Source organism: Homo sapiens, chromosome 17 (genome assembly GCF_000001405.40).
Source record: "Homo sapiens chromosome 17, GRCh38.p14 Primary Assembly".
In the NCBI taxonomy this organism is placed as follows: Eukaryota; Metazoa; Chordata; class Mammalia; order Primates; family Hominidae; genus Homo; species Homo sapiens.
Window position 1 is genome coordinate 44,543,891 of NC_000017.11, and position 23,478 is coordinate 44,567,368.

Sequence of the window (23,478 nt, forward strand, 5' to 3'; positions counted from 1 at the left end):
CCAGCTGCCTCTGCCTGAGAGCAGGAAAAACCAACACTAAAGGCTTATATTGAGCATCCACTATGTGAAGTCACTTACCACTTCATCTTATCTTCCCCACCCTTCAAGAGAAGATTAGTGTCCCTATCTTATCGATGAAGAGTCAGAGCTTCAGAAAGGGAGAGTGACCTATCTCAGGGAATGCAGTGAGGAAGCAGAGCTGAATCCATTGAGTCCAAGTCCAGGACAGTGGTCTGCCTAGCATGCTGCCTCGTGACTAGGTCTGCCCTAGGTGCCTGTGTCCAGGCTCCCAGGCTGACCTCTGGCTAATATTCTGCTTCTGGGTTACAAAGCAGCATGTACCATCTGAGCTTCCTTTCCCAAAGCAACTGTCCCTACAAATCCAGTTTCTCTTTCAGTCCTCACTTCACAGGGAACAGGACAGACTTATTGTGCCCATTCTTCAGATGGAGAAACTGATACTCAGAGAAAAGATTCACTGAAGGTCAGAAAAGTATTAAGCACCAAGACCAGGACACGAGCATTCAGGTGTCCTACGTCCACTTCATGGGTTCTCACGATGATGTCAGATTTATTTGTCACTTCACCCCTTCTCAGATTGGAGATCAGAATAGATTTGTTTTTGTTTGTTTTGTTTTGAGACAGGATCTTGCTCTGGCACCCAGGCTGGAGTGCAGTGCTGCAATCACAGCTCGCTGCAGCTTCGACCTCCTGGGCTCAAGAGGTCCTCCTGCCTCAGCCTTCCCAGTAGCTGGGATTATGGGTGTACATTACCATGCTCAGCTAATTTTTTTTTTTTTGTAGAGACAGGGCATATTTGTAATTAAATGTGGCTTTGAGAAACTAGATACTTGTCAAAACTGGAGACTAGAAATCTGCGTCCTAGAAACCTTGCTCATTTTTCATCCTCAGAGCTGAGCTTCTCCCCTCCCTAAGTGTGGGTTTCAGAGGCAGGGCAGAATGTATGGAAAGGGAATTGGGCTCGCTGTCCAGGGCAGGATGCTTGTGTCTCTAGATTACCCAGCTCAGGGAGTTCTTCAGACCTTGCCCTATTTACAGAGAGCATTGATTCATTTAACAATTTTTTCTTGGGTGCCTATGATATGCAAGGCACTAAGGTATGCACAAAAACTAAGACACAGCCTCTGCCCTCAAGAGATTATCTTGTTGGGCTGTGGGGAGGCTGTAGTTAGACATATGTAGGTAACACATGCCACATGCTAAATGCCATAAGATAAACATCAACTCAGGGAAAGGACAGGGGTGGTATCAGGGAAGCACCACAGAGAAGGGGACTTCAAGGATTTACAGTGGTGGAATGGCTCTAGGTATTTTATCAAAAAAAGAGATTCAGGCCAGGTGCAGTGACTCATGCCTGTAATCCCAACAGTCTGGGAGGCCGAGGCAGGCAGATTGCTTGAGCTCAGGAGTTCCAGACCAGCCTGGGCAACATGGTGAAACCCCATCTCTACCCAAAATAGAAAAAATTAGCCAGGCATGTGTCTGTGCTCCTAGCTACTCAGGAGGCCAAGATGGGAGGATTGCTTGATCCTGGGAGGTCGAGGCTGCAGTGAGCCGAGATCGCATCACTGCACATTCCAGCCTGGGTGACAGAGTAAGACTCCGTCTCAAAAAAAAAAAAAAAGATGCAATACATATAGACGAAATTAAATTATGGCCCCACAAAATTAATATGTTAAAGCCCTAACCCTCAATGTGATTGTATTTGGAGATAGGGGTTTTAGGAGGTAATTAATGTTAAACGAGGTTGGAGGGTCCCCACCCCTAATCTGATAGGATTGGTGGCCTTATAAGGGGAACAGAGAGAAACCTCTCTCTCCCCACCTACACACACCAATGATAGGCCACATGAACACTGAGAAGGTGGCCATCTACAAGCCAGGAAGGAAGCCTTCGCCAGAATCCAACCATGCTGGCATCCCGATCTCAGACTTTCAGCTTCCAGAACTATGAGAAAATAAATTTCTGTCATTTAAGCTATCCAATCTGTAGTATTTTGTTATGGAGCCCAAGCAGACTAAAACAAGCAGGAAACTAGGTGTTTGTGAAACTTGGATGGCCTGGAGGAGTAGACTTTGTCACGAAGCCACAGAAATGACCCTCCAGTAGAAGCTGCTACCTCTGCCACTAGCAGGTAGGGGGATCAAGAGGCTACCATTGGGACCGGTTGCAGTGGCTCATGCCTGTAATCCCAGCACTTTGGGAGGCCAAAGCAGGCAGATCACTTGAGGTCAGGAGTTTGAGACCAGCCTGGCCAACGTGGCAAAACCCTGTCTCTACTAAACAAACAAAAATTAGCTGGGTGTGATGGTGCACACCTGTAATCCCAGCTACTCAGGAAGCTGAGGCCTGAGAATCGCTTGAGCCCGCGAGTGGGAAGTTGCAGTGAGCCAAGTTCACACCATTGTATTCCAGCCTGGGGGACAGAGTGAAACTCTATCAAAAAAAAAAAAAAAAAAAAAAAAGGCTTCCATTGTAATTAAGCCAAGGTAACTGCACCTAGGGATCACTAGAAATTGCCACTGCAGCAAGAACATGACCTCATTTCCCTTCCACCTTCCAAATCTCAAATAAGCGTATTTTGCATCCAGAGCTCTAGCTGCAAGGGAGGCTGAGAGGTGAGGTTTTTGGCTTCCAACCTCTGCAGTATAGGAAGGTGGTGGGAATGGTGGGAGGATCTCTTGAGCCCAGGAGTTTGAGGCTGCAGCGAGCTGTGATCGTGCCACTATACTTCAGCCTGGGTGACCGAACAAGACCTCATCTGGAAGAGAAAAAAAAAAAAAAAGTAACTAGGGCTCTGAAAGCTAATTGAATGGTCTGGAGGTTTGGAAAGCAGATAGCTTTAGAGTGAACGTACGAATCACTTGGGGATGGTATATTTGGATAAGTGGGCAGGGCCCAGGAATCTATATTCCTAACAGGCAAACCCCAGTTCCCATTTCCCCTCCTGCCATAATGGACTCAGCATGTGGACTGATGCATGTGGACTCAGCTTTCAGAAACTTTATCCCTGGGCAGGAGCTCTGATGGGGCAGTCCCAGACACTACAGTGAGCAGTGAAAGGTTAGATTTGAGCAGTGAAAGGTTAGCAGTGAGCAGAAAAGGCTAGATTTGTGCTGAATTAGTCCCTTTCTCTCCTAAGAGCTAGTCCTGAAAGTTGGATGCTGAACCCTGAAAAATGCTGCTGTGATGGAGGCTCAGGAGAAGGGGGGGGTCTGCCTAGAACCCAGGAGTCCAGGGATTTAAACTCACCACCCCACCAAGGAGGACTGGATGGAGTCAGCTGACAACATGAATAAGCATTTCCTGAAGTTATGACTCATTTTGTTCTGAATTTCTACCCTGGCCCCGGGGGTTTAGGACCTTCGGGATCCTATTTCTATTGCAGGGGTTTGGTTAGAGAGCCCCTTCAACCTTGAGGGGTTTAAGAATTGGACAGAGGAGAAGAAAAGTAAAACAGAGGGTACAAGAGAGGAAGGGAGGAGAAAGGTAGCACTTCCACCCAAAATGGCCTCAAGTCCCTACCAGAACCCAATGTCCTCCATAGCTCACATTGAATTTCAACACAAAATAGTCTATTACAATAGATGTTCCTTTTTCCTTCTCAGTCATTTTCTTTTCTTGGCTCTTACCAGGCAGCCTTGGACCCTAAGCCCCCCAGTTCTGAGGGGAAGGCCATAGATAAATGAAAAAGCCCTGGCCTTCTTCCTCTGTGCCCCCATCCCAGCCCCACATCTCAGGGAGGGGGTCGCCCCAAGCCAGAGCAGGGCTGAGTCTGCCTGGGCCAGGCTGCCTGGCCAATAGGCTTTCCTCCTTCCCAGGGGTATCCATTCTCCTACCCAGTTCCTGAGATGCTGGGCCCCCTTCAGCCGCATCTGCAGCCTGACTGAGCAGAGTCCCCCAGGCCTTCTTCCTCTAGGCTGGTCCTCCCAGGTTAAGAGCAGGCTTCCATGTTGGAAGGGGGTCCGTCCCCCCTTCCCCCAGTTATCACCACAAAGCAAAGTCCAGGGAAGGAGGGGGAGTGGGCAAGGGTGGGGGTAGTGGGAGAGCCAGGTCCTTGCTAGTAAATCAAAGTTGGTTTCCCAGATGGAGTTGCAGCCGCTTTGATTTCTCAAGTCACCCCCCTCCCCCTCTGCTGCCTCCCCTCACCCCCAGCTCCACAGTTTCAATTCCTCCCTGAAAAGCAGCAGGGCCTCCTTTCAAACCAGCCCAGCTCCTCCAACTCCCAACAACAGCTTCAGTTACAGGAAAGGGGAAGGGGAGGGGGTGAGGTGGCCCAGCCTAGAGAGAAAGGAGAGACATTCTGGGAGAAGCAAGAGGGAGAAGGAGGAGTAGAAAATGAGGAAGGGGGAAAAGAAAGAGCAGAGTGAGAAGATGGGAGGGGGGCAGCCAGGGTGGAAGAGTGGGGCTCTGCTGGAGCAGGAGGGGAGCTCCAGCTGGGAAGCCAACCTACCTTTTCCTCCCTCCCAAGGGAGCACCCCCACACCCATCACCCCAAGGACCCCTCCATAGCTACAGAGCTATGATTCAGGCTTCCCTATTCCTCTCCCCTTGGCATTAGGTTCTAGAAGGTTCTGGAAGACAAAATATCGAAACCGTTCATTCCTAGGGACATTTATTTCCTGTTCTAGAAGGCAGAGTCACCCAAGAACCTCACTAGCCAAACCTAGCACTGGCTTTCTAGATCCTGTTTCCCCATTTGGCTCTGAGCAGCCCACACCTTGGTCTTGCTCAGCCCAGGCTTGGGCCAATGAAGGCCCTTAATTAATAGATCATCTGTTACATCTGTTTAATCCTTTTATGGCCCATTTTGCCTGCCAGAGACCTTGAAGAAAGACATTGGAGAGATAAAGGGGTAACAGCTATGCTCTGCTAAGTCTCCTTCCTCCTCTGCCCCAAAGCCAGGGGCAGCCTTGGAACTTGGCAGGGGTGGGGCAGGGTGCACTGAAGGAACCTACAAGTTGTCAGGAATTGGAATTCCAGGAGTCCTAGGTCTCCTGATTATTTGGTGGCCCATTTCTTTATTTCCTTCTTCCTTCCTTCCTTCCTTCCTTCCTTCCTTCCTTCCTTCCTTCCCTCCCTTCCTTCCTTTCTCTTTCTCCCTCTTTCTCTTTCTCCTCTCTCTCTGTCTCTCTTACTTTTATTTCTCTCTCCTTCTCTTTTTTTCTTTCTTTTTGAGATAGTGTCTCACTCCCGTTGCCCAGGCCAGAGTGCAGTGGCAGGATCACAGCTCACTGCAGCCTCCACTCAGGTGATCCTTCCACTTCAGCCTCCTGAGTAGCTGGGACCATAGGCATGCACCACCACACCAGGCTATTTTTATTTTTAAGATTTTTAAATTTTTAGTAGAGACAGTTTTGTCATGTTGCCTAGGCTGGTCTCCAACTCCTAGGCTCCAGTGATTCACCAGCCTCATCTTTCCAAAGTGCTGGGATTACTACTGTGCCCGGTCTGTGGCCCATTTCTAAGGGTCATTTCCCTGAGATCTAAATGGAGGATGGAGTGCAGGGAGAAGGAATTTGATACCTCACCTGAAGGTGGATTCAAGGTCTTGATGGACAGGTTCAGGGAGAGAGGAGGAAAGGTGAATTCACCTAAAGCAGAGGCATATTGTGTGGGTCAGGGGAGAGGGGAGCCAAGGAGACTGATTCTCTGAATGCTCAGACCTGTTTTCCACAAAGTATCTAGGACCCACCCCGTTTAGAGCAGAACATTTTTGCTTAGAGAATAAAACCATTGAGGCTCCTAAAGTATCTGAAATTAAGTCCTCCTCCTTGATCTCTGTCTCCTAAACAGATACACATAGCCCTTCCCTCTTTAGGGTGGAGGGACCTCAGTGCTTTGAAAAGGAAAGAACACTGACCCAGAATTGAGGAAACAAAGAGGGGACCTGTCCTCTGGCAGGCTCATTGGAGCAGGGGGAATTCCCTCGGGAGTCACCATACCAGGCATTGTCCCTTAGATTAGCCCTCAAGGACAGAGGGGACAGCTTCTCTGGAAAGCAAGGGCTCTAGAGGAAAACGTGCAAGGAGACCTGGACATGTGTGATTACCTAAACTGTGACGGGGGAAGGTGAAAGGCCAGAGACAGGAGGATATTTTGCGGGGAGTGGGAGCCCTAGGCAATCTCCCCAGGTTTCCTTAGCGGGGAGAAGTTCTCCGTGCTCTCCTCTCCTGAGCATGCCTGTGTGTGTTGGATGTTGCTGACTGTCATTTCACTTATCTGTGACACACAAGTCTTTCATCTTGTTTGGGTGGCATGAAGCAAGGAGAGTTTCAATGATCCAAGCATCATATTCTCACAGCCTCCTACATCTGGCTCAAGGGTAAAATCAATAAATTGTTTTATGATCCCTTTCTACTGATGAAAAAGCTGCAGCTAAGGAAGGGATGGTGACTTGCCTAAGCTACTGGGCCAGTGGGGCTGGAGCCAGGCCTGCAGCCCAGACATTTGGAGCCCCAGACCAGGTTTCTTTCCACTCCAACAGCTATTTTCTCTGCTCTCCTGTTAGGTTGAGATTTCTGCTCCTGCCAAGCCCATCCTACAGAACGGGGGAATGGACCCTGCAGCAGATTTACAGTAGGTACCCAACAATTATCCCAGATATCAGATTTGGTTTTTTTTTTGTTTGTTTGTTTTTTGAGATGGGTTCTCACTCTGTTGTCCAGGCTGGAGTGCGGTGGGGTGATCACAGCTTATGCAGCCTCAAACTTCTGGGCTCAAGTGATCCACCCGCTTCAGCCTCCTGAGTAGCTGCGACTACAGGTGCATGCTACCACACCAGACTAATTTTAAAATTTTCTGTAGAGATAGGGCCTGGCTATCTTGCCTAGGCTGGCTCAAGCAATTCTCCCACCTTAGCCTCCTAAAGTGCTAGGATTACAGGTGTGAACCACTCCACCTGGTCCTAGATGTCAGATTTGTAAGCAGACACGATTAACAGTGGTACTTCGGGGTTTGGGGGAGAAGTGGCACTTCTGTGCACTGGGGACACCTAGGCTCCCAGCCCACAGCAGAAGCCCAAGACTAAAGAGAAATGTTCCTTAGGGAGCGATAGCAGAATGTGGCCCCCTAGACTGTAGGCTCCCTGAAGCTGGAGGCTGAGTCTCTGCAGACTATCTGCTTTGCATGTAGTAGATGCTCAATAATTTATTGGATAAAATAATAGCTACTATTACCAAGCTTTTAGTCTAGCACCAGGTCATAGTGAGTGTCATATGCTGTCTCATTTAATTCTCACAACTGAAATAAGAAAAATAAAAATTCTGGGCCAGGTGCGGTGGCTCACACCTGTTATCCCAGCACTTTGGGAGGCTGAGGTGGGCAGATCACTTGAGGTCAGGAGTTCAAGACCAACCTGGCCAACATGGTGAAACCCTGTCTCTACTGAAAATACAAAAATTAGCCGGGCATGGTGGCTTACGCCTGTAATCCTAGCACTTTGGGAGGCTGAGGCGGGCGGATCACGAGGTCAGGAGATCGAGACCATCCTGGCTAACATGGTGAAACCCCATTTCTACTAAAAATACAAAAAAATTAGCCGGGCATGGTGGTGGGCACCTGTAGTCCCAGCTATTCAGGAGGCTGAGGCAGGAGAATGGCGTGAATCCAGGAGGCGGAGCTTGCAGTGAGCTGAGATGGAGCCACTGCACTCCAGCCTGGGGGACAGAGCGAGACTCCATCTCAAAAAAAAAAAAAAATTAGCTGGGCATGGTGGTGGACACCTGTAATCCCAACTACTCAAGGAAGGAGAATCCCTTGAACCAGGGAGGCAGAGGTTGCAATGAGTGAGATCGAGCCACTGCACTCCAGCCTGGGCAATGGAGCAAGACCCTGTCTCAAAAACAAAAACAAAGAAAGAAAACAAAAACCTGACTTGAAGCTCTCAGACCCAGAAGAAACAAACCTTGTGACATCCTCATGTTGGCTAGAATCTCTGCTGGCCCAAACACCTCTTCTCAGTCTCCTTCCTTATTGGCCCCAGGGCCTTTAAATGTTGACATCCCCAAAGCTTTGGCCTTCCCACCCTATCCATCTTCCCTAGGTGATCTTAGCCATGCTCATACCATCAGACATAGGCTGAAGGTGCCAGATCTAAATCTAGCCCAGAGTTCTGACCTGAGCACTGAGTTAGATTATTCGCCTGCCTTCTGGACACCTTCTCTTGGATGTGCCATAGGACCAGGCTTGCATGACTGCACTCATTATCTGCCCTTTCCCTGCATTTCCCAGCCTGGTTAATAGCATTAGGGCACCTAGGTCAGAGCCTTGGTTGATCTCGTCCCTTACTCTCTCTCCTTACCATCTGCACTGTCACATCTCAGTTCCTGCCGTCACCATTTCTTGCCTGGTCTCTTGTGATCAATCTGTAACTGGTATCTCAGGCTCCCGGCATGATGCTCCTCAAAACTGCCCAAATGCACTAGTTAAAATGCAAATGTGACCTCTTCCTTTCCCAAAATTCTCCAGTATATCCTCATCTCCAGGAGCCCAGACCGTGTGCAAGGTATCCAAGATCTCTGACTACTTAAAGCCTCCTCTGCCGTCGTTCTCCTAGATGCACGTGGGACTCTCACAGGGCCAAAGTCTTGCGCTGCCTCCCTACTCCATCTATTTCACCCCACCACGCCCTTGCACACAATGTTCCCTCTGTCTGGAATGCCTGTCCCTCCCTTGTCTGTTTACATGTCTGTTTCCCTGTTAGATTGTGAGTTCATGTTTCTACATCCAACACCTCACACGTGATCTGTGAGGCCCTGCAACTCTGATCCCTGCTGGCCTCTTTACCTCGTCCTACTTTGCTCCTCACTCCAACCACACAGCCTCTCTTGCCCTCCCCGACTCAGTCAGATTCCCTCCCCAATTATGCTTTCAAAGAACTACGGATCTTCCCTTCACAGCACTGAATCCCATGGCACTTTTACATCCATGTCAGTGACTGTGCAGTCAACGTGAGTGTCTCCCACTAGGACATGAGCTCCATAGGAACAAAGGGTTGGGTCTGGTATTCAGTGTAATTTTTTTTTTTTTTAAGAGATGAGGCCGGGCATGGTGGCTCACACCTGTAATCCCAGCACTTTGGGAGGTCGAGGTGGGCAGATCATGAGGTCAGGAGTTTGAGACCAGCTTTGCCAATATAGTGAAACTCCGTCTCTACTAAAAATACAAAAATTAGCTGGGTGTGGTGGTGCGCGCCTGTAATCCCAGCTACTCAGGAGGCTGAGGTAGGAGAATCGCTTGAACCCAGGAGGTGGAGGTTGCAGTGAGCTGAGATCGCACCACTGTACTTGGCGACAGAGTGAGACTCTGTCTCAAAAAAAAAAAAAAAAAAAAAAAAGAAATGAGTTCTGGCTATGTTGCCCAGGCTGGTTCCAAACTCCTGACCTCAAGTGACCCTCCTGCCTCAGCCTCCCAAAGTGGAATTACAAGCATGAGCCACCGTGCCTGGCCATAAATTTGTTAAGTGAATAAGAGCACACAATTCTTACAGATATTAGGGGCTATGTGATGCAGGAGACAGAACACAGCTTTAAGAGCCAAACAGGCCTGGGTTTTAATCTCACCCCTGCCACATACTATGTGACTTTGGGAAAGTTGCCAGATCTCACCTAAGGTGGATTCTTCATCTATAAACAAAAAACAATACCCACTTTGTAGGCATATACATGTGCAGAACTTAGCAGGAGCTCAAAAAATGGTAGCAATTGGCCGGGCGCAGTGGCTCACGCCTGTAATCCCAGCACTTTGAGAGGCCGAGGTGGGTGGATCACAAGGTCAGGAGTTCGAGACCAGCCTGACCAACATGGTGAAACCCTGTCTCTACTAATAATACAAAAATTAGCCAGGCATGGTGGTGCCCGGCTGTAATCCCTGCTACTTGGGAGGCTGAGAGAGGAGAATTGCTTGAACCTGGGAGGTGAAGGTTGCAGTGAGCCAAGATTGTGCCACTGTACTCCAGCCTGGGCGACAGAGCGAGACTCCGTCTAAAAAAAAAAGGGTAGCCATTACCCTAGGTCTCCCAGGATGCCTGCTGAATAAATATTTAATTCAACGTAACTTCTTGTTTTAAAAGGCGCTTTATGATTATGAAATGTATTTTTGTCATTCTGAAATTATTTTGGATGTGGAGTCTCACATTTTTAAAATCTGTTGGTTTCCTACTTGGCAGATGGGAAAACTGAGGTTCAAAGAAGTAAAGTGACTGTTCCAAGGCTGTATAGTTAGTGGCAGAGTTACAAATGGGTCCAAGTCAATGACCAAGCTAATTTATTTATTTATTTAGAGGTCTCACTCTGTTGCCTGGGCTGGAGCACAGTGGCATGATGACAGCTCACTGTAGCCTCAACCTCCTGGGCTCAAGCAATTCTCCCACCTCAGCCTCCCAAGTAGCTGGGACCACAGGCATGCACCACCATGCCCAGCTAATGTTTTAAAATTTTTGTAGAGACAGGGGTCTCACTTCTTGTCCCAGCTGGTCTCAAATCTGGCTTCAAGCAATCCTCCTGCCTTGGCCTCTCAAAGTGCTGGGATTAAAGGCATGAGCCATTGCATCCTGCCCAAGCTAATTTTTAAAAACTCAGAAATAAATGCTGTATCTATCAAATAACAAATTACATCCTTTAGTTACAGGGCTCCTGTACTCAAGAGGCAGGTTGGCAGAATGAGAAGTGCTGTAGGTAGGCCTGTAATCTGAAGATGCAGGTTCTGGTCCTGTTCACACTCAGGTCCCTCACGTGAAAGGCAAGAGTAAACATGAAATACCGTGATTTCTCCTTATTTCATGTACAAATGCTAGACAAGTGTAACATCTTTGTGGAATCACTTTTCTTCTGGGCTACTATAAACTCTTTTTTTTTTTTTTTTTTGAGACAGAGTCTCGCTGTGTTGCCCAGGCTGGAGTGCAGTGGCGCGACCTCAGCTCACTTCAGCCTCCGACTCCCGGGTTCAAGCCTCAGCTCCTGCCTCAGCCTCCTGAGTAGCTGGGACTACAGGCATGCACCACCATGCCCAGCTAATTTTTGTATTTTTTGTAGAGACGGGGTTTCACTATGTTGGCCAGGCTGGTCTCAAACTCCTGATCTCAGGTGATTGCCCGCCTTGGCCTCCAAAAGTGCTGGATTATAGGCATGAGCCACTGCCCCCGGCCTACTATAAATTTTTGAAGGGCAGATGCTGTCATCTTTTTCCACATTCTCCATAGCCCCTATTATGGTGGTTTGAAATAAGAAAAAAAGTGTGTTGAAGGAATGAAAGGTTGCCTGAGTGAATGGAAGAATGTCCTCTATTTCCTGTTTCCAGCTCCCCAGCTCCCCATCTGCCTTGGGGTGGCTGGGAGGGGATAACTGTCATTCAGACCTGGCCCTAGGCCAGGAAAACGGGTTTGTCATGGAAGGAAATTGAAGATGCTGCGTTTACATTGGAGATTTGCTCTCAATTTCCTATCGGACTGCGAGCTTCCTGAATGGGGTATAGGAGCCTGTCATTCATTTTTGTTTCCACTGCTCAGCTTCCATGTTTGGTACCGGCTCTCAAGATGCTTTGAGATGGACTAGGCAGGAGATCTGAGGATCAAAAGCTCAGGCTCAAATGGAGCAGAGAGAGCACAACATTCCCATCCTTAGACTGCTCTGAGAGAAAATGGGCTTGCTGGTGGAATAGAGATGGGTGGGCTGGAAATGGGATGCACAAAAAAAGGCATATCCCCCTCGACACCCACTCATGCCCCAATTTTGAAGGAAAATTTTCATCCTGGTGTAGGGAAAAGGCAAATTCCCCAGGATGTAATAAGGAACATTTTCAAGTTGTAAGAAACCGGAACATCTTTATATCATTCATTCGATCAGGAAAAAAAAATTTTTTTTTGAATCCTGTCAAACCTGGATCCCTTTGTATCCATCTACTTAGAATATTTTTTCCTTCTCCCTACTCCTTTCCTCTTTTTGTTATTTTTCTTCTTCTGCTGTTGTTGTTTAAAACAATTCTTTTCTATATTGGAGCAAGAAACATTTCACCAGACTGTGAGGATTTGGCCCATACTGTGAAGCAAAGGGGCTTTCTAAACTCAATTTTCTTTCTTCTTTTTAAGTCCCCCCTTTCCCCTGTCCCTCGGGAGAGACAACAGAAAATAATTGATCCATCATCCAGTATCAGGCCCAGGAGATTTACATGCAAATTCCTCCTCGACCCCTTTCCAAATTTAAAATCCTAGAAGGGAAAAGAAAAATTCTAAAAGTAGCAGGAACCCTGCTGGCCACACCCCACCCCTTACCAGGTGAGAGATGTGGAGGGGATAATTCACCACAACCCCCCAGTTTCCTCCCGCGTCACACACGCCACCCCTCTCTGGTGTGGAACCACTTAAGATTTGGGTAAAACTCCCCTCTCGCCCTGGAGACGGGATCTGGAAGCTTTTAGGGGGCGGAGGTAGAGGTGGGGAGGCAGAAGGAAAATTCCCTCAAACGTTCGTCAGGCCTAAGAGAGTCGTCCCTTCACTCAAAATTGCCCGTCACCCCCCGCCCCCCACCATTAACTTTCGATTAAGACCTCCTCCTTAGGGCAACTAAACTTTACTTTGCACAATTAAGATTTGCCGCAGAAGAAGCGGGAGGGAGAAGCCGCAGCTCCGGGCCATTCTCCTTTCCCTCGCTCCCTCCAAGCCCCCCGCCCCAACCCTCCAGCTCCGGGCCTCCGAGTTCCTGAGTTTTCTCACTTTGAGGTGCCACCGAACACAAAGAACCATAATGGGCTCCTTTGTGTTGGCTACGGGGCAATTACGCCTCGGAGTCCTGGTCCCTTTAAGAGTCTCTTAAAGAGACAGGATCCCATTTTTCAGAGGGTTTTTTAAGGGTGTGTGGAGGGGGAGGGCGAGGGATCTACGTGTAAAGTGAAGTGAAACTTTCGCCTGGGCTCCAGAAAGAGCGGACAGAAAAGGTCTTTGTAAATTGTTAGTTTTTTTAAAGTCTGTTTTAATTTTTAAATTTGAGATTTTTCACTCGATTTGAAAAATTGGACTAGGAATAGGTGGGGTTCGAGGATCGGGGGCGGGGGCAAGGGTTTAAAGAGTCCCCACCCGGCAGAGCACCTCGGCCCGGGAAGAGGAGTGAGCCAGGGTCGAGTAGTGTCCCCCGATCTCGCCGCGGCAACTCCGGAGAAATCCCGGGCTGGGCAAACAGCCCTTAATATAATAATAGCTTGTCTCTTTAAAAAGCAAAAGGGGGGGAAAGTTTTGTTGGCATCTGGTTTCTGATCTCATTATGTTGTGGTCGACCAATCCAGCCCTCGGGCCTGGTCCTCGGGTTTAAATCTGATTGGCCGAGAGCACATTTTGGGTTGGTGCTTAGAGCTCGACGGGGCGGTTTCAAGGATCCCTTTTTTGGGGGGCTGAGGAGAGGGCGGGGCCGCCAGCGGGGGCCCCCTTGAAACCGACTAATTGGGATCGGAGAGGCCGAGGTGAGGGCTGGAGGAGGCACAAAGAAGTCGCTGGGTGCAGAAGGGAGGGGAGAGGGGGAGCTGAGAGGCGAGAGGAGGAGGAAGAGGAGAGAGGGCAGCAGCGCGCGGTGTCTCCGGCTGCTCAGTCCGACCGCGGCAAGCAAGCGGGCAGGCGCACCGCCCCCTCCCCCGCCCGGCCTCCCCAACTCTGCGGCCGCGAGTAAAGTTTGCAAAGAGGCGCGGGAGGCGGCAGCCGCAGCGAGGAGGCGGCGGGGAAGAAGCGCAGTCTCCGGGTTGGGGGCGGGGGCGGGGGGGGCGCCAAGGAGCCGGGTGGGGGGCGGCGGCCAGCATGCGGCCCCGCAGCGCCCTGCCCCGCCTGCTGCTGCCGCTGCTGCTGCTGCCCGCCGCCGGGCCGGCCCAGTTCCACGGGGAGAAGGGCATCTCCATCCCGGACCACGGCTTCTGCCAGCCCATCTCCATCCCGCTGTGCACGGACATCGCCTACAACCAGACCATCATGCCCAACCTTCTGGGCCACACGAACCAGGAGGACGCAGGCCTAGAGGTGCACCAGTTCTATCCGCTGGTGAAGGTGCAGTGCTCGCCCGAACTGCGCTTCTTCCTGTGCTCCATGTACGCACCCGTGTGCACCGTGCTGGAACAGGCCATCCCGCCGTGCCGCTCTATCTGTGAGCGCGCGCGCCAGGGCTGCGAAGCCCTCATGAACAAGTTCGGTTTTCAGTGGCCCGAGCGCCTGCGCTGCGAGCACTTCCCGCGCCACGGCGCCGAGCAGATCTGCGTCGGCCAGAACCACTCCGAGGACGGAGCTCCCGCGCTACTCACCACCGCGCCGCCGCCGGGACTGCAGCCGGGTGCCGGGGGCACCCCGGGTGGCCCGGGCGGCGGCGGCGCTCCCCCGCGCTACGCCACGCTGGAGCACCCCTTCCACTGCCCGCGCGTCCTCAAGGTGCCATCCTATCTCAGCTACAAGTTTCTGGGCGAGCGTGATTGTGCTGCGCCCTGCGAACCTGCGCGGCCCGATGGTTCCATGTTCTTCTCACAGGAGGAGACGCGTTTCGCGCGCCTCTGGATCCTCACCTGGTCGGTGCTGTGCTGCGCTTCCACCTTCTTCACTGTCACCACGTACTTGGTAGACATGCAGCGCTTCCGCTACCCAGAGCGGCCTATCATTTTTCTGTCGGGCTGCTACACCATGGTGTCGGTGGCCTACATCGCGGGCTTCGTGCTCCAGGAGCGCGTGGTGTGCAACGAGCGCTTCTCCGAGGACGGTTACCGCACGGTGGTGCAGGGCACCAAGAAGGAGGGCTGCACCATCCTCTTCATGATGCTCTACTTCTTCAGCATGGCCAGCTCCATCTGGTGGGTCATCCTGTCGCTCACCTGGTTCCTGGCAGCCGGCATGAAGTGGGGCCACGAGGCCATCGAGGCCAACTCTCAGTACTTCCACCTGGCCGCCTGGGCCGTGCCGGCCGTCAAGACCATCACCATCCTGGCCATGGGCCAGATCGACGGCGACCTGCTGAGCGGCGTGTGCTTCGTAGGCCTCAACAGCCTGGACCCGCTGCGGGGCTTCGTGCTAGCGCCGCTCTTCGTGTACCTGTTCATCGGCACGTCCTTCCTCCTGGCCGGCTTCGTGTCGCTCTTCCGCATCCGCACCATCATGAAGCACGACGGCACCAAGACCGAAAAGCTGGAGCGGCTCATGGTGCGCATCGGCGTCTTCTCCGTGCTCTACACAGTGCCCGCCACCATCGTCATCGCTTGCTACTTCTACGAGCAGGCCTTCCGCGAGCACTGGGAGCGCTCGTGGGTGAGCCAGCACTGCAAGAGCCTGGCCATCCCGTGCCCGGCGCACTACACGCCGCGCATGTCGCCCGACTTCACGGTCTACATGATCAAATACCTCATGACGCTCATCGTGGGCATCACGTCGGGCTTCTGGATCTGGTCGGGCAAGACGCTGCACTCGTGGAGGAAGTTCTACACTCGCCTCACCAACAGCCGACACGGTGAGACCACCGTGTGAGGGACGCCCCCAGGCCGGAACCGCGCGGCGCTTTCCTCCGCCCGGGGTGGGGCCCCTACAGACTCCGTATTTTATTTTTTTAAATAAAAAACGATCGAAACCATTTCACTTTTAGGTTGCTTTTTAAAAGAGAACTCTCTGCCCAACACCCCCACAAGGTTTGTAATTAAAACTGTAAATAGTCTTTGTAAATTTAATTATATATATTTTCTATTTAAAAGAAAAAAGGAGAAAAAAAAACAGGGGTGTGGGCGCCAGGACTGAAGAATGAGGTGTGTGTGTGTTGGGGAGTGTAGTTGGGGGGAGGGTTCTCTTTCTTAAGTGCCCTTCAAAACCCGCCCCACTTTTGGAGTTTTTTGGTGATATGGCAGGGCTGGGCCTGATGGGAGAGGCACCCAGCCTGAGCGCTGTTTTTGTTGGCTTTGAGTCGTTAGGAGTTTGTTCCATTCAACTAATATAAAAGCCAAATTTGTGAGCCTCCTCTCTGACGCTGGGCCTGTGGAAGCCGTTGGATATTTTTGAACAGGACTTGGATTCGTTTTGTTTCCTTCCCCCTTTTCTTTCCCTACTCATTTGTCCTGTCTTCTTCACTCACTCTTGGAAAAGTCCCAACAGAGATGAAGACGTGGAAAAAAAAATCGGGGTCGGGGTGTGCTGGTGGGGAGAGGGCAGAGATCCGGTGAGGAATGGCTTCCACCCCCTGGCCCATTCCCCTGCAGGCTGGAAGATCTTTCTCCTGTCTGGCTTCTCTTCTTTTCAATTCGCTGCACCAAGTGCTTCCAGTGGCCCAAAAATGCTTTTTGAAGTGTGTTTTGAAACAGCCCCCACCAACATACACCCCACCAGGAGTACTGATCCTGCCTCCCTTCATGTCTAGGGGAAGCATTCGCCTTTGAGCACTTGTTTGCAAATCTGGGGAGTTTGAGACCTCCTAGCATCTCTTCCCTTCTTTCCCTGCAGTCTATTCACTCCCGCAGCCAAAAATCTCTGGCGTTCAGGTTAGCAGTTTCTGGGTTGGTTTGTGTGGGTTTTTGTTGTTGTTTGGGGCTTATTTTTTTCAAAAAGTGATAAAGACGGGTGGGTTGGAGGGAGGGGACTGATGGGCTGGTGGGCTTTTTAGTTTTCCTTTGAGAAAAAGACTGGTTTATTTAAAATTTGTCCAGAAAAAAATGAAAAAAAAAAAAAAGGTGGTATCTTTGCTTTAGAAGAAGTCTCTGGATAGGCCCTTTGTGGCTGTGGGGGTGGGTTGAGTGTTTACATTACATTCTATATCACAAGATTGATAGGATGTTTAAAGCAGATGTTTCTTATCTTCCCCTGAGCCCCTACAAATAAAGTCAAGACTTTTCTTTTTTTGAGACGGAGTCTTGCTCTGTCGCCCAGGCTGGAGTGCAGTGGTGCGATCTTGGCTCACTGCAACCTCCACTGCAGCGTTTCTCCTGCCTCAGCCTCCCAAGTAGCTGGGACTACAGGCGCACGCCACCACTCCTTGCTAATTTTTGTATTTTTAGTAGACACAGGGTTTCACCATATTGGCCAGGCTGGTCTCGAACTCCTGACCTCGTTATCTGCCTGCCTCGGCCTCCTAAAGTGCTGGGATTACAGGAGTGAGCCACAGTGCCTGGCCTGTCAAGACTTCTCTTAAGTTAACTTCCTGAGAAGTGATGTCTAAAAGTATCTTTGCTGGTGTGAGAACTCCAGTTTCCAACACATATTATTTCCCTCAACTATTTGGAATATTTTAGAATTTTAATTCCAAAGGATTAGTTTGAATACAAGTATGCCACATAACTCAGTTTTCGCCATCTTCCATTTCTTAACAGTGTAAATTAAAAGCTAATAATCATAATAATAAAGTGCATTTAATTATCTTTGAGAGATCTATCCTTTTAATTGTATTTAACAGGGTTGTAACATTTTATTAGTTTAACCAAACCACACCTCCTCCTCCCCTCTCTCCCTTACCTACTTGGCTGGGGGTGGGGCAGAGAAGAGTGCTCCCAGCCCTGGACCTTGCTTTCTTAGCTAAATGGTGATGGGAGAAATGGTGCCTTACCACCCTTTGTTGGCTGTCTTCCGGACAAGGGAGAAAGTTAAGTTAGAACCCCTACTTCGAAGTGTTTGCTTGTGTTAGTTTATGTTGGGGGAGGGGAACTGGAAATGTTTGGTGGTAATTGAAGTGATATGTGGGGCTTTGTTTGGAATTGTATGAAGCCTGTGGATTTCAGCAGCGCCCCCTCCCAAAAATATATAATTTCCCCCCAAATCATCTGTGTCAGTGGCCAGTTAAACCTAGCTTTTTATCAAATGATGACAAGTGTGAGATCTCAACATGAGGTTCCCTCAATTATCAAAGAAGCAGGCGGGAGGAGGTGTCACCGCCCCCGGCTCCATTTGTTGCAGGATTCTAAAGGGACCCCGCAAAGGCTGCAGGAAAGAGTAAAATTACAAACAAATTGTGAGTGCCTCTCCTTGTAATAATGGGAAAAGCCAGAGAATCAGGTGGGATTTTCCAGTACCTGGTATTGAGCTCAGTGGGAAGAGGAGCTGGTCTCTGTTGAAGATTGGGGAGAGCCTCTCCCACCTATAAGCCACCCAAGATCTTGGCTCTGTGTGCTTTGGGTACATTTGTCCCTGGACCCTCGCACTGAGCAACCCCCTCCTCAAAGTCTCCTGCCAACATAAAGGAAGAGAGCCTGAGACACTGACAAAATAGATTATATGACTGAGGAGGAAGACAGATAATAAGACAGTTCCATCTTTTGGAAAGAACAGATCTTAGAGATACCCTTCCCCTTCTTCAGGGGGAGTAGCCAAGGGCTGAATTACCCTACTGAAAATTGTTGTGGGGGAACCCTCCTCTCCACACCCTTGTCCTGTTTCTTAAATGAAACACTCTTAGAGGAAGGGAAGCTTTAGACCACAGTTTGGGGAATTTGGGGTAAAGAGGAGAAAGCACCCTGGAGGAAGACTCAGAGGTAAACCACCTGAACTCACTGCCTCACGGGAGAGGGCACCTCAGCTCCCTTGTTCAGAAAACCCAGTTAAAAACAGGAGCTTAGAGATCTGCTTTTGGAGATTTCTAGGTCGTCCTTTGAGCAGAAAAGGGTTTCCATGTTGTAAGTGGGCTGGTCCCTCCCTCTGGAAGAGCGAGGCTTTGTGTTTGCTGGAGGGTCAGGGCCAAGAAGGAAATACACTCACCTGTGGCACCTGGGCCTGGGGCAGGTCTCAGGCCCACGCTGCTTTCTGCCTGCTCTTCTGCCCTCCCCCAGGGCAATGGTCTGGGGTTTCAAGGTCCCAGGCATTTCTCCTCCAGACTCCCCCCTCTTATTGATCAGGCTTTCCCTCCTCCCAGCCCAGACTTCCCTCCAGAAGACTTTAACGTTAGTTCCAAACTTTTTGCCCTTTAAGATTTTTTGAAGAGCTAGCTCTAGAAAAAGGCCACTAAAGTTTCTCAAGACAAAATTCTTCTGAACATCCCCAAAGAATTAAGATTAGGTTCAGCCCAGTGGGATGGGGAACTGCTTTTTGTTCCAAAATCTCTTCAGGAGGGTGGGGAGATGCTGTCCCGGGGGTGCCTGCCATGGGGTCTGAGCCGGGCGAGCCCTCCCTTCTGCAGTCTTGCTACTCACTGTACCAGGGTCCCTCCTCCTCTAGAATCACTCTTCTTACCTTAAATGGATCTTAAACTTCTGGGGGCCACTGACCATCTGAGAATCTCAAAACTCTTTGGACCTCTTCCTGGAAAAAAAAAATAGCCAGATCCCCCATGAATATGCAATTGTGTGTAGCTTTAGGAAGTTTCTAGATCATCCCTCCCTGACCTCTCTCCCTACCCGCCTGCCCCCAAACTAGTTTTCGAGTCGCTGGTCTAGACATTTTTTTTTTTTTTTTTTGAGACTGAGTCTCACTCTGTCGCCCAGGCTGGAGTGTAGTGGCGCGATCTCAGCTCACTGCAATCTCCGCCTCCCGAGTTCAAGCAATTCTCCTGCCTCAACCTCCTGAGTAGCTGGGATTACAGGTGTGCATCACCACACCTGGCTAATTTTTGTATTTTTAGTAGAGATGGGGTTTCACCACGATGGCCAGGCTGGTCTCAAACTCCTGACCTCAGGTGATCCTCCCGCCTCGGCCTCCCAAAGTACTGGAATTACAGGCATGAGCCGCCGTGCCTGGCCTGTCTAGACATTTTCTAGTCCTGATTACTAGCTACCTCTCCTTCTCTAAAGGACAGCCCTTACCTTCTCAGACTCCAGTATCCCCCGGTCTCTAATCACCTCTGCTATGGAAAGGGGGTGGGGGTGAGGAGGGAAAGCCACTGGGCCTACAAAACCAGGAGTACCCCGGAACCAGATTATTCACTCAGTTCAATCCTGCCCCTTGATCAGGTAACAAGTGATCAAGATGCAGCAGAGTGGAATATGGATGAATGAAATTTGTAGTTGGGAAAAACGGAGAGAGAGACAGACAATGTATGGCGAGCAGAGGCTTTGACATGCTTTGGTACCACTCACTGCAGTAGTAGCTGTGAGCACTTGTGGCATTTTTCTAACCTCTGAGCGTGTGTCCTCATCTATAAAAAGGCTGATAGTACCTGTCTGGTAACATGAGTAGTAGACGGGACCATACATCTACAGAGCCCTCAGGCAGTAGTTCAATAAATTGTAGCACTTTTCCAATTACTTAGAATACATTTATTTATTTATTTATTTTGAGACGGAGTCTGGCTCTGTCGCCCAGGCTGGAGTGCGGTGGCGCGATCTCGGCTCACTGCAAGCTCCGCCTCCCGGGTTCACGCCATTCTCCTGCCTCAGCCTCTGGAGTAGCTGGGACTACAGGCGCCCGCCACCACGCCTGGCTAGTTTTTTTTGTTTTGTTTTGTATTTTTAGTAGAGATGTGGTTTCCCCGGGTTAGCCAGGATGGTCTCGATCTCCTGACCTCGTGATCCGCCCGCCTTGGCCTCCCAAAGTGCTGGGATTACAGGTGTGAGCCACCGCGCCTGGCCCCCACTTAGAATACATTTCCAAAAATAAAATCAGTGGATCAAAAGATCTAATTTCTTGACAAGAGAAGTGTTACCAATAGTTTTTAAACTGTTCCCTATCATTTAAAAGGACCACAGTCTTCCCTTCCCAGCACTTCCCTATCATTTCCTCCGTGTGAAGAGGTACATCTAACTGCCCTTAGAATATGGACGATGACTGGTCTTAGCTGCTTCATGCTGATAGGGGGCATTGTTTTGGGGAAAACAGCAGTCAGACTCCTCCTAGAGGTCTATCTAAGGGTTCCTAGGAAAGGGGAGCCATCATCCGAGGCTCCGATTGCCTGACCGTTTGCAGTTTGGTGGCTTCTAGGCGCAAGAGAATAAAACAAGTTTTATAAGGTTAAGTGTGCATAAATTAAACGTGTATTATACAAGGAAAGAATTTAGTGCCAAAGATTCCAGAGACAAGAAGTAAAATATACTAACAACATTGTACCCTGAGCTGTAAGAAATTAAACCTTATATAGGAGCAGTTCAACTTGAGAAGAGATAACTGTTCTTGCCATATCTTTTAGCAGTTAACAGGTGCACCCTGGGAATTCTGGGATTTGTGGACTTGCACGATGGCCATTAAAGCTTTTGCCTCTTTCCTGTATCTCCTCTCTCTTTCCTGGGCCTCCCAGTCTCTATTATAAAAGACCAAGGTGGCTACTTTCAGGAGTTTCTTCAAAGTACTATCTGGTCCCGGGGCCTGTTTTTGTATCTTCCTTCTGATGTCAGGAGCTGCCCAAGTAATAAATTGATCCTTTAGAATTAGTTGTCCCTCTACTGAATCAGGAGATAGAGAGAGGTGCTTTACCAAGCTCCCTCTTAGCCTCTCCAGGAAGGCAGTGGGATTTTCATCAAATCCCTGGTCAATCATGGACAATTTAGTATAATTGAGGGGCTTGGTCCTAGTTCAATGGTATTGAAATGAATGGTCCCTTCCTGAGGCCACGCCAGTCCTTCCTATAAATCATAATTTGGCCAAACCTTTGTGCAGAGGGCTATGAGGTGCTTTTCCTTCAGATGCTGAGGGTCAAAGCAATCCCAATGGTTCAGAATACATTATACTCCAGAAGAGTATAAGCTGGGGGTGGTGAAGAGAACTGGTTGCCCATTCTGAAAGACAGGGAAAAAAGGCGTCCCCTACTCCCTTCCTTCTTTCAGCGAATACTCAGAGTGTGATGGAGAGAGAAAGCGAGTATCCTCCCTGCACCCTCCACCTCTTGTCCCTGAGCCCTGGTGACCTTGTCAGGTGCCAGCCATGGGTACCAATGCGGTATGTACCCATGAAGCAGGGAAAACCTGGAGAATAGGAATTAACTGCTCTCATCTACACCTCCCTTTCTCCCTCCCTTTCTTCCTGCTGTCAGCAAACTGAGTTCCCTGGGCCTGTTTGTGCCATGGAACATGGCCTCCTTCTATGTGGTGGGGGGTTCACTCGTCAGGAATTGGTTCTGCCCATTTACATTGTGCCTGTTGCCTGGCTTTGGATCCCTCGGACCTGGTTTTTCTCTCTAGGGCCTCAGCCTGAAGCCTGGAATCGAATTTGGGATTGAAAAGTTGGTTTAGAGGCTGTTTGTATCTGTTCAGAGTGTCTCAGATGTGCCCTGCTGAATTTGCAGTTCTCAGCCAGCAGGGGTCGCTCCTCCGTTAACTTCCCTATCAGAAACTACTGGGATGGGGGAGCCCTCTCACTTAGAAAAGGAAAAAAAGAAAAACAGTTAAAAGGCCAAAAAGAGGAGGATTCTGGGAGAAGAACCCCTTGCTTACTGCAAGTGGGCCCCCCTAATCCTTATATCTTTCCTCTAGTTCAGACCGTGTTGAATTCTTTGGCCAGGGGAGGAAAGGTTTTATTGGCGCAGCCGGCAAGAAGCGCCCATCCGTTTGCCCTGTTTGGCTACCACCACGGCTTTCTCCCGCCCACTCTTGGCTGTTGGGCTTGGCCTTTGCCTGCTGCGGGCACGCATGGGCGCCTGAGCTGGGAGGGGAAAGGGTGAAGAAAGGTGCCCTGAGCCATGCCTGTGGCTGTCAAGGTAAAGGTGTACATGGCACCTCTAGGAAAAGTTGGTCTGATTGGCACATTTCAAACCGTGTGAGAGCGGCTGGGTGCGCTGGCTCACGCCTATGATCCCAGCACTTTGGGAGGCCGAGGCGGGCGGATCACAAGGTCAGGGGTTGGAGACCAGCCTGACCAACATGGTGAAACCCAGTCTCTACTAACAATACAAAAATTAGCCGGGCGTGGTGGCGCTTGCCTGTAATCCCAGCTACTCAGGAGGCTGAGGCAGGAGAATCGTTTGAACCTGGGAAGCGGAGGTTGCAGTGAGCCAAGATCGCACCACCGCACTCCAGCCTGGGTGATAGAATGAGACTCCGTCTCAAAAAAAAAAAAAAAAAAACAAACAAAGAAAAGAAAAAGAAAAATGAGGCCCAGAGGCCAGAGAGACACTGCCTGAAGCTCACAGGTAATTGCAGAATTGGAGCTCAAACCCAGCTTTTAGTCCTTATGCTTTTTTTTAGACTAATTTTTTTAGAGGAAGGTACAAGAGTTCCCATATACCCCTGTCCCTACACATACATAACCTACCTTCCCCATTATCAACATCCCTCACCAGAGGAGTACTTTTTTTTTTTTTTTTTTTTTTGAGATGGAGTCTCGCTCTGTCGCCCAGGCTAGAGTGCAGTGGCACATCTTAGCTCACTGCAACCTCTGCCTCCCTGGTTCAAACGATTCTCCTGCCTCAGCCTCCCAAGTAGCTGGGATTACAGGCATCCACTACCACGCCTAGCTAATTTTTGTATTTTTAGTAGAGATAGGGTTTTACCATATTGGCCAGGGTGGTCACGAACTCCTGACCTCAGATGATCCGTTTGTCTCAGCCTCCCAAAGTGCTGAGATTACAGGCATGAGCTACTACATCCGGCCACCAAAGGAGTACATTTGTTACAATT

The 23,478-nt window shown here is 49.8% G+C and overlaps 1 protein-coding gene across 1 annotated transcript, besides 9 other annotated features; it reads left to right on the plus strand.

Moving 5' to 3' along the window:
* Nucleotides 4,173–4,720: an enhancer, noted in NCBI's record as "H3K27ac-H3K4me1 hESC enhancer chr17:42625431-42625978 (GRCh37/hg19 assembly coordinates)". NCBI's record gives its function as "activates a minimal SCP1, AML or CMV promoter by ChIP-STARR-seq in naive H9 embryonic stem cells {active_cell/tissue: H9 hESC(naive)}" and the evidence as "EXISTENCE:reporter gene assay evidence [ECO:0000049][PMID:30033119]".
* Nucleotides 12,089–12,858: an enhancer, noted in NCBI's record as "OCT4-NANOG-H3K27ac hESC enhancer chr17:42633347-42634116 (GRCh37/hg19 assembly coordinates)". NCBI's record gives its function as "activates a minimal SCP1, AML or CMV promoter by ChIP-STARR-seq in naive and primed H9 embryonic stem cells {active_cell/tissue: H9 hESC(naive and primed)}" and the evidence as "EXISTENCE:reporter gene assay evidence [ECO:0000049][PMID:30033119]".
* Nucleotides 12,859–13,626: an enhancer, noted in NCBI's record as "OCT4-NANOG-H3K27ac hESC enhancer chr17:42634117-42634884 (GRCh37/hg19 assembly coordinates)". NCBI's record gives its function as "activates a minimal SCP1, AML or CMV promoter by ChIP-STARR-seq in primed H9 embryonic stem cells {active_cell/tissue: H9 hESC(primed)}" and the evidence as "EXISTENCE:reporter gene assay evidence [ECO:0000049][PMID:30033119]".
* Nucleotides 13,301–13,400: a silencer, noted in NCBI's record as "silent region_8596". NCBI's record gives its function as "represses an Ori minimal core promoter by ATAC-STARR-seq in GM12878 lymphoblastoid cells {active_cell/tissue: GM12878}" and the evidence as "EXISTENCE:reporter gene assay evidence [ECO:0000049][PMID:35858748]".
* Nucleotides 13,594–17,372, plus strand: FZD2 (frizzled class receptor 2). The gene has a single exon (NM_001466.4). The coding sequence runs from the start codon at nt 13,799–13,801 to the stop codon at nt 15,494–15,496; it is 1,698 nt and encodes a 565-aa protein (NP_001457.1). The 5' UTR covers nt 13,594–13,798; the 3' UTR covers nt 15,497–17,372.
* Nucleotides 13,799–14,045: a silencer, noted in NCBI's record as "fragment chr17:42635057-42635303 (GRCh37/hg19 assembly coordinates)". NCBI's record gives its function as "represses an EF-1alpha promoter that drives an FKBP-Casp9 reporter gene in an ReSE screen in K562 erythroleukemia cells {active_cell/tissue: K562}" and the evidence as "EXISTENCE:reporter gene assay evidence [ECO:0000049][PMID:32094911]".
* Nucleotides 13,799–14,804: a biological region, named in NCBI's record as "H3K27ac-H3K4me1 hESC enhancer GRCh37_chr17:42635102-42636062".
* Nucleotides 13,844–14,804: an enhancer, noted in NCBI's record as "H3K27ac-H3K4me1 hESC enhancer chr17:42635102-42636062 (GRCh37/hg19 assembly coordinates)". NCBI's record gives its function as "activates a minimal SCP1, AML or CMV promoter by ChIP-STARR-seq in naive H9 embryonic stem cells {active_cell/tissue: H9 hESC(naive)}" and the evidence as "EXISTENCE:reporter gene assay evidence [ECO:0000049][PMID:30033119]".
* Nucleotides 14,291–14,340: a silencer, noted in NCBI's record as "silent region_8597". NCBI's record gives its function as "represses an Ori minimal core promoter by ATAC-STARR-seq in GM12878 lymphoblastoid cells {active_cell/tissue: GM12878}" and the evidence as "EXISTENCE:reporter gene assay evidence [ECO:0000049][PMID:35858748]".
* Nucleotides 23,278–23,478: a silencer, noted in NCBI's record as "peak2866 fragment used in MPRA reporter construct". NCBI's record gives its function as "represses an SCP1 promoter by STARR-seq MPRAs in K562 erythroleukemia cells {active_cell/tissue: K562}" and the evidence as "EXISTENCE:reporter gene assay evidence [ECO:0000049][PMID:32103011]".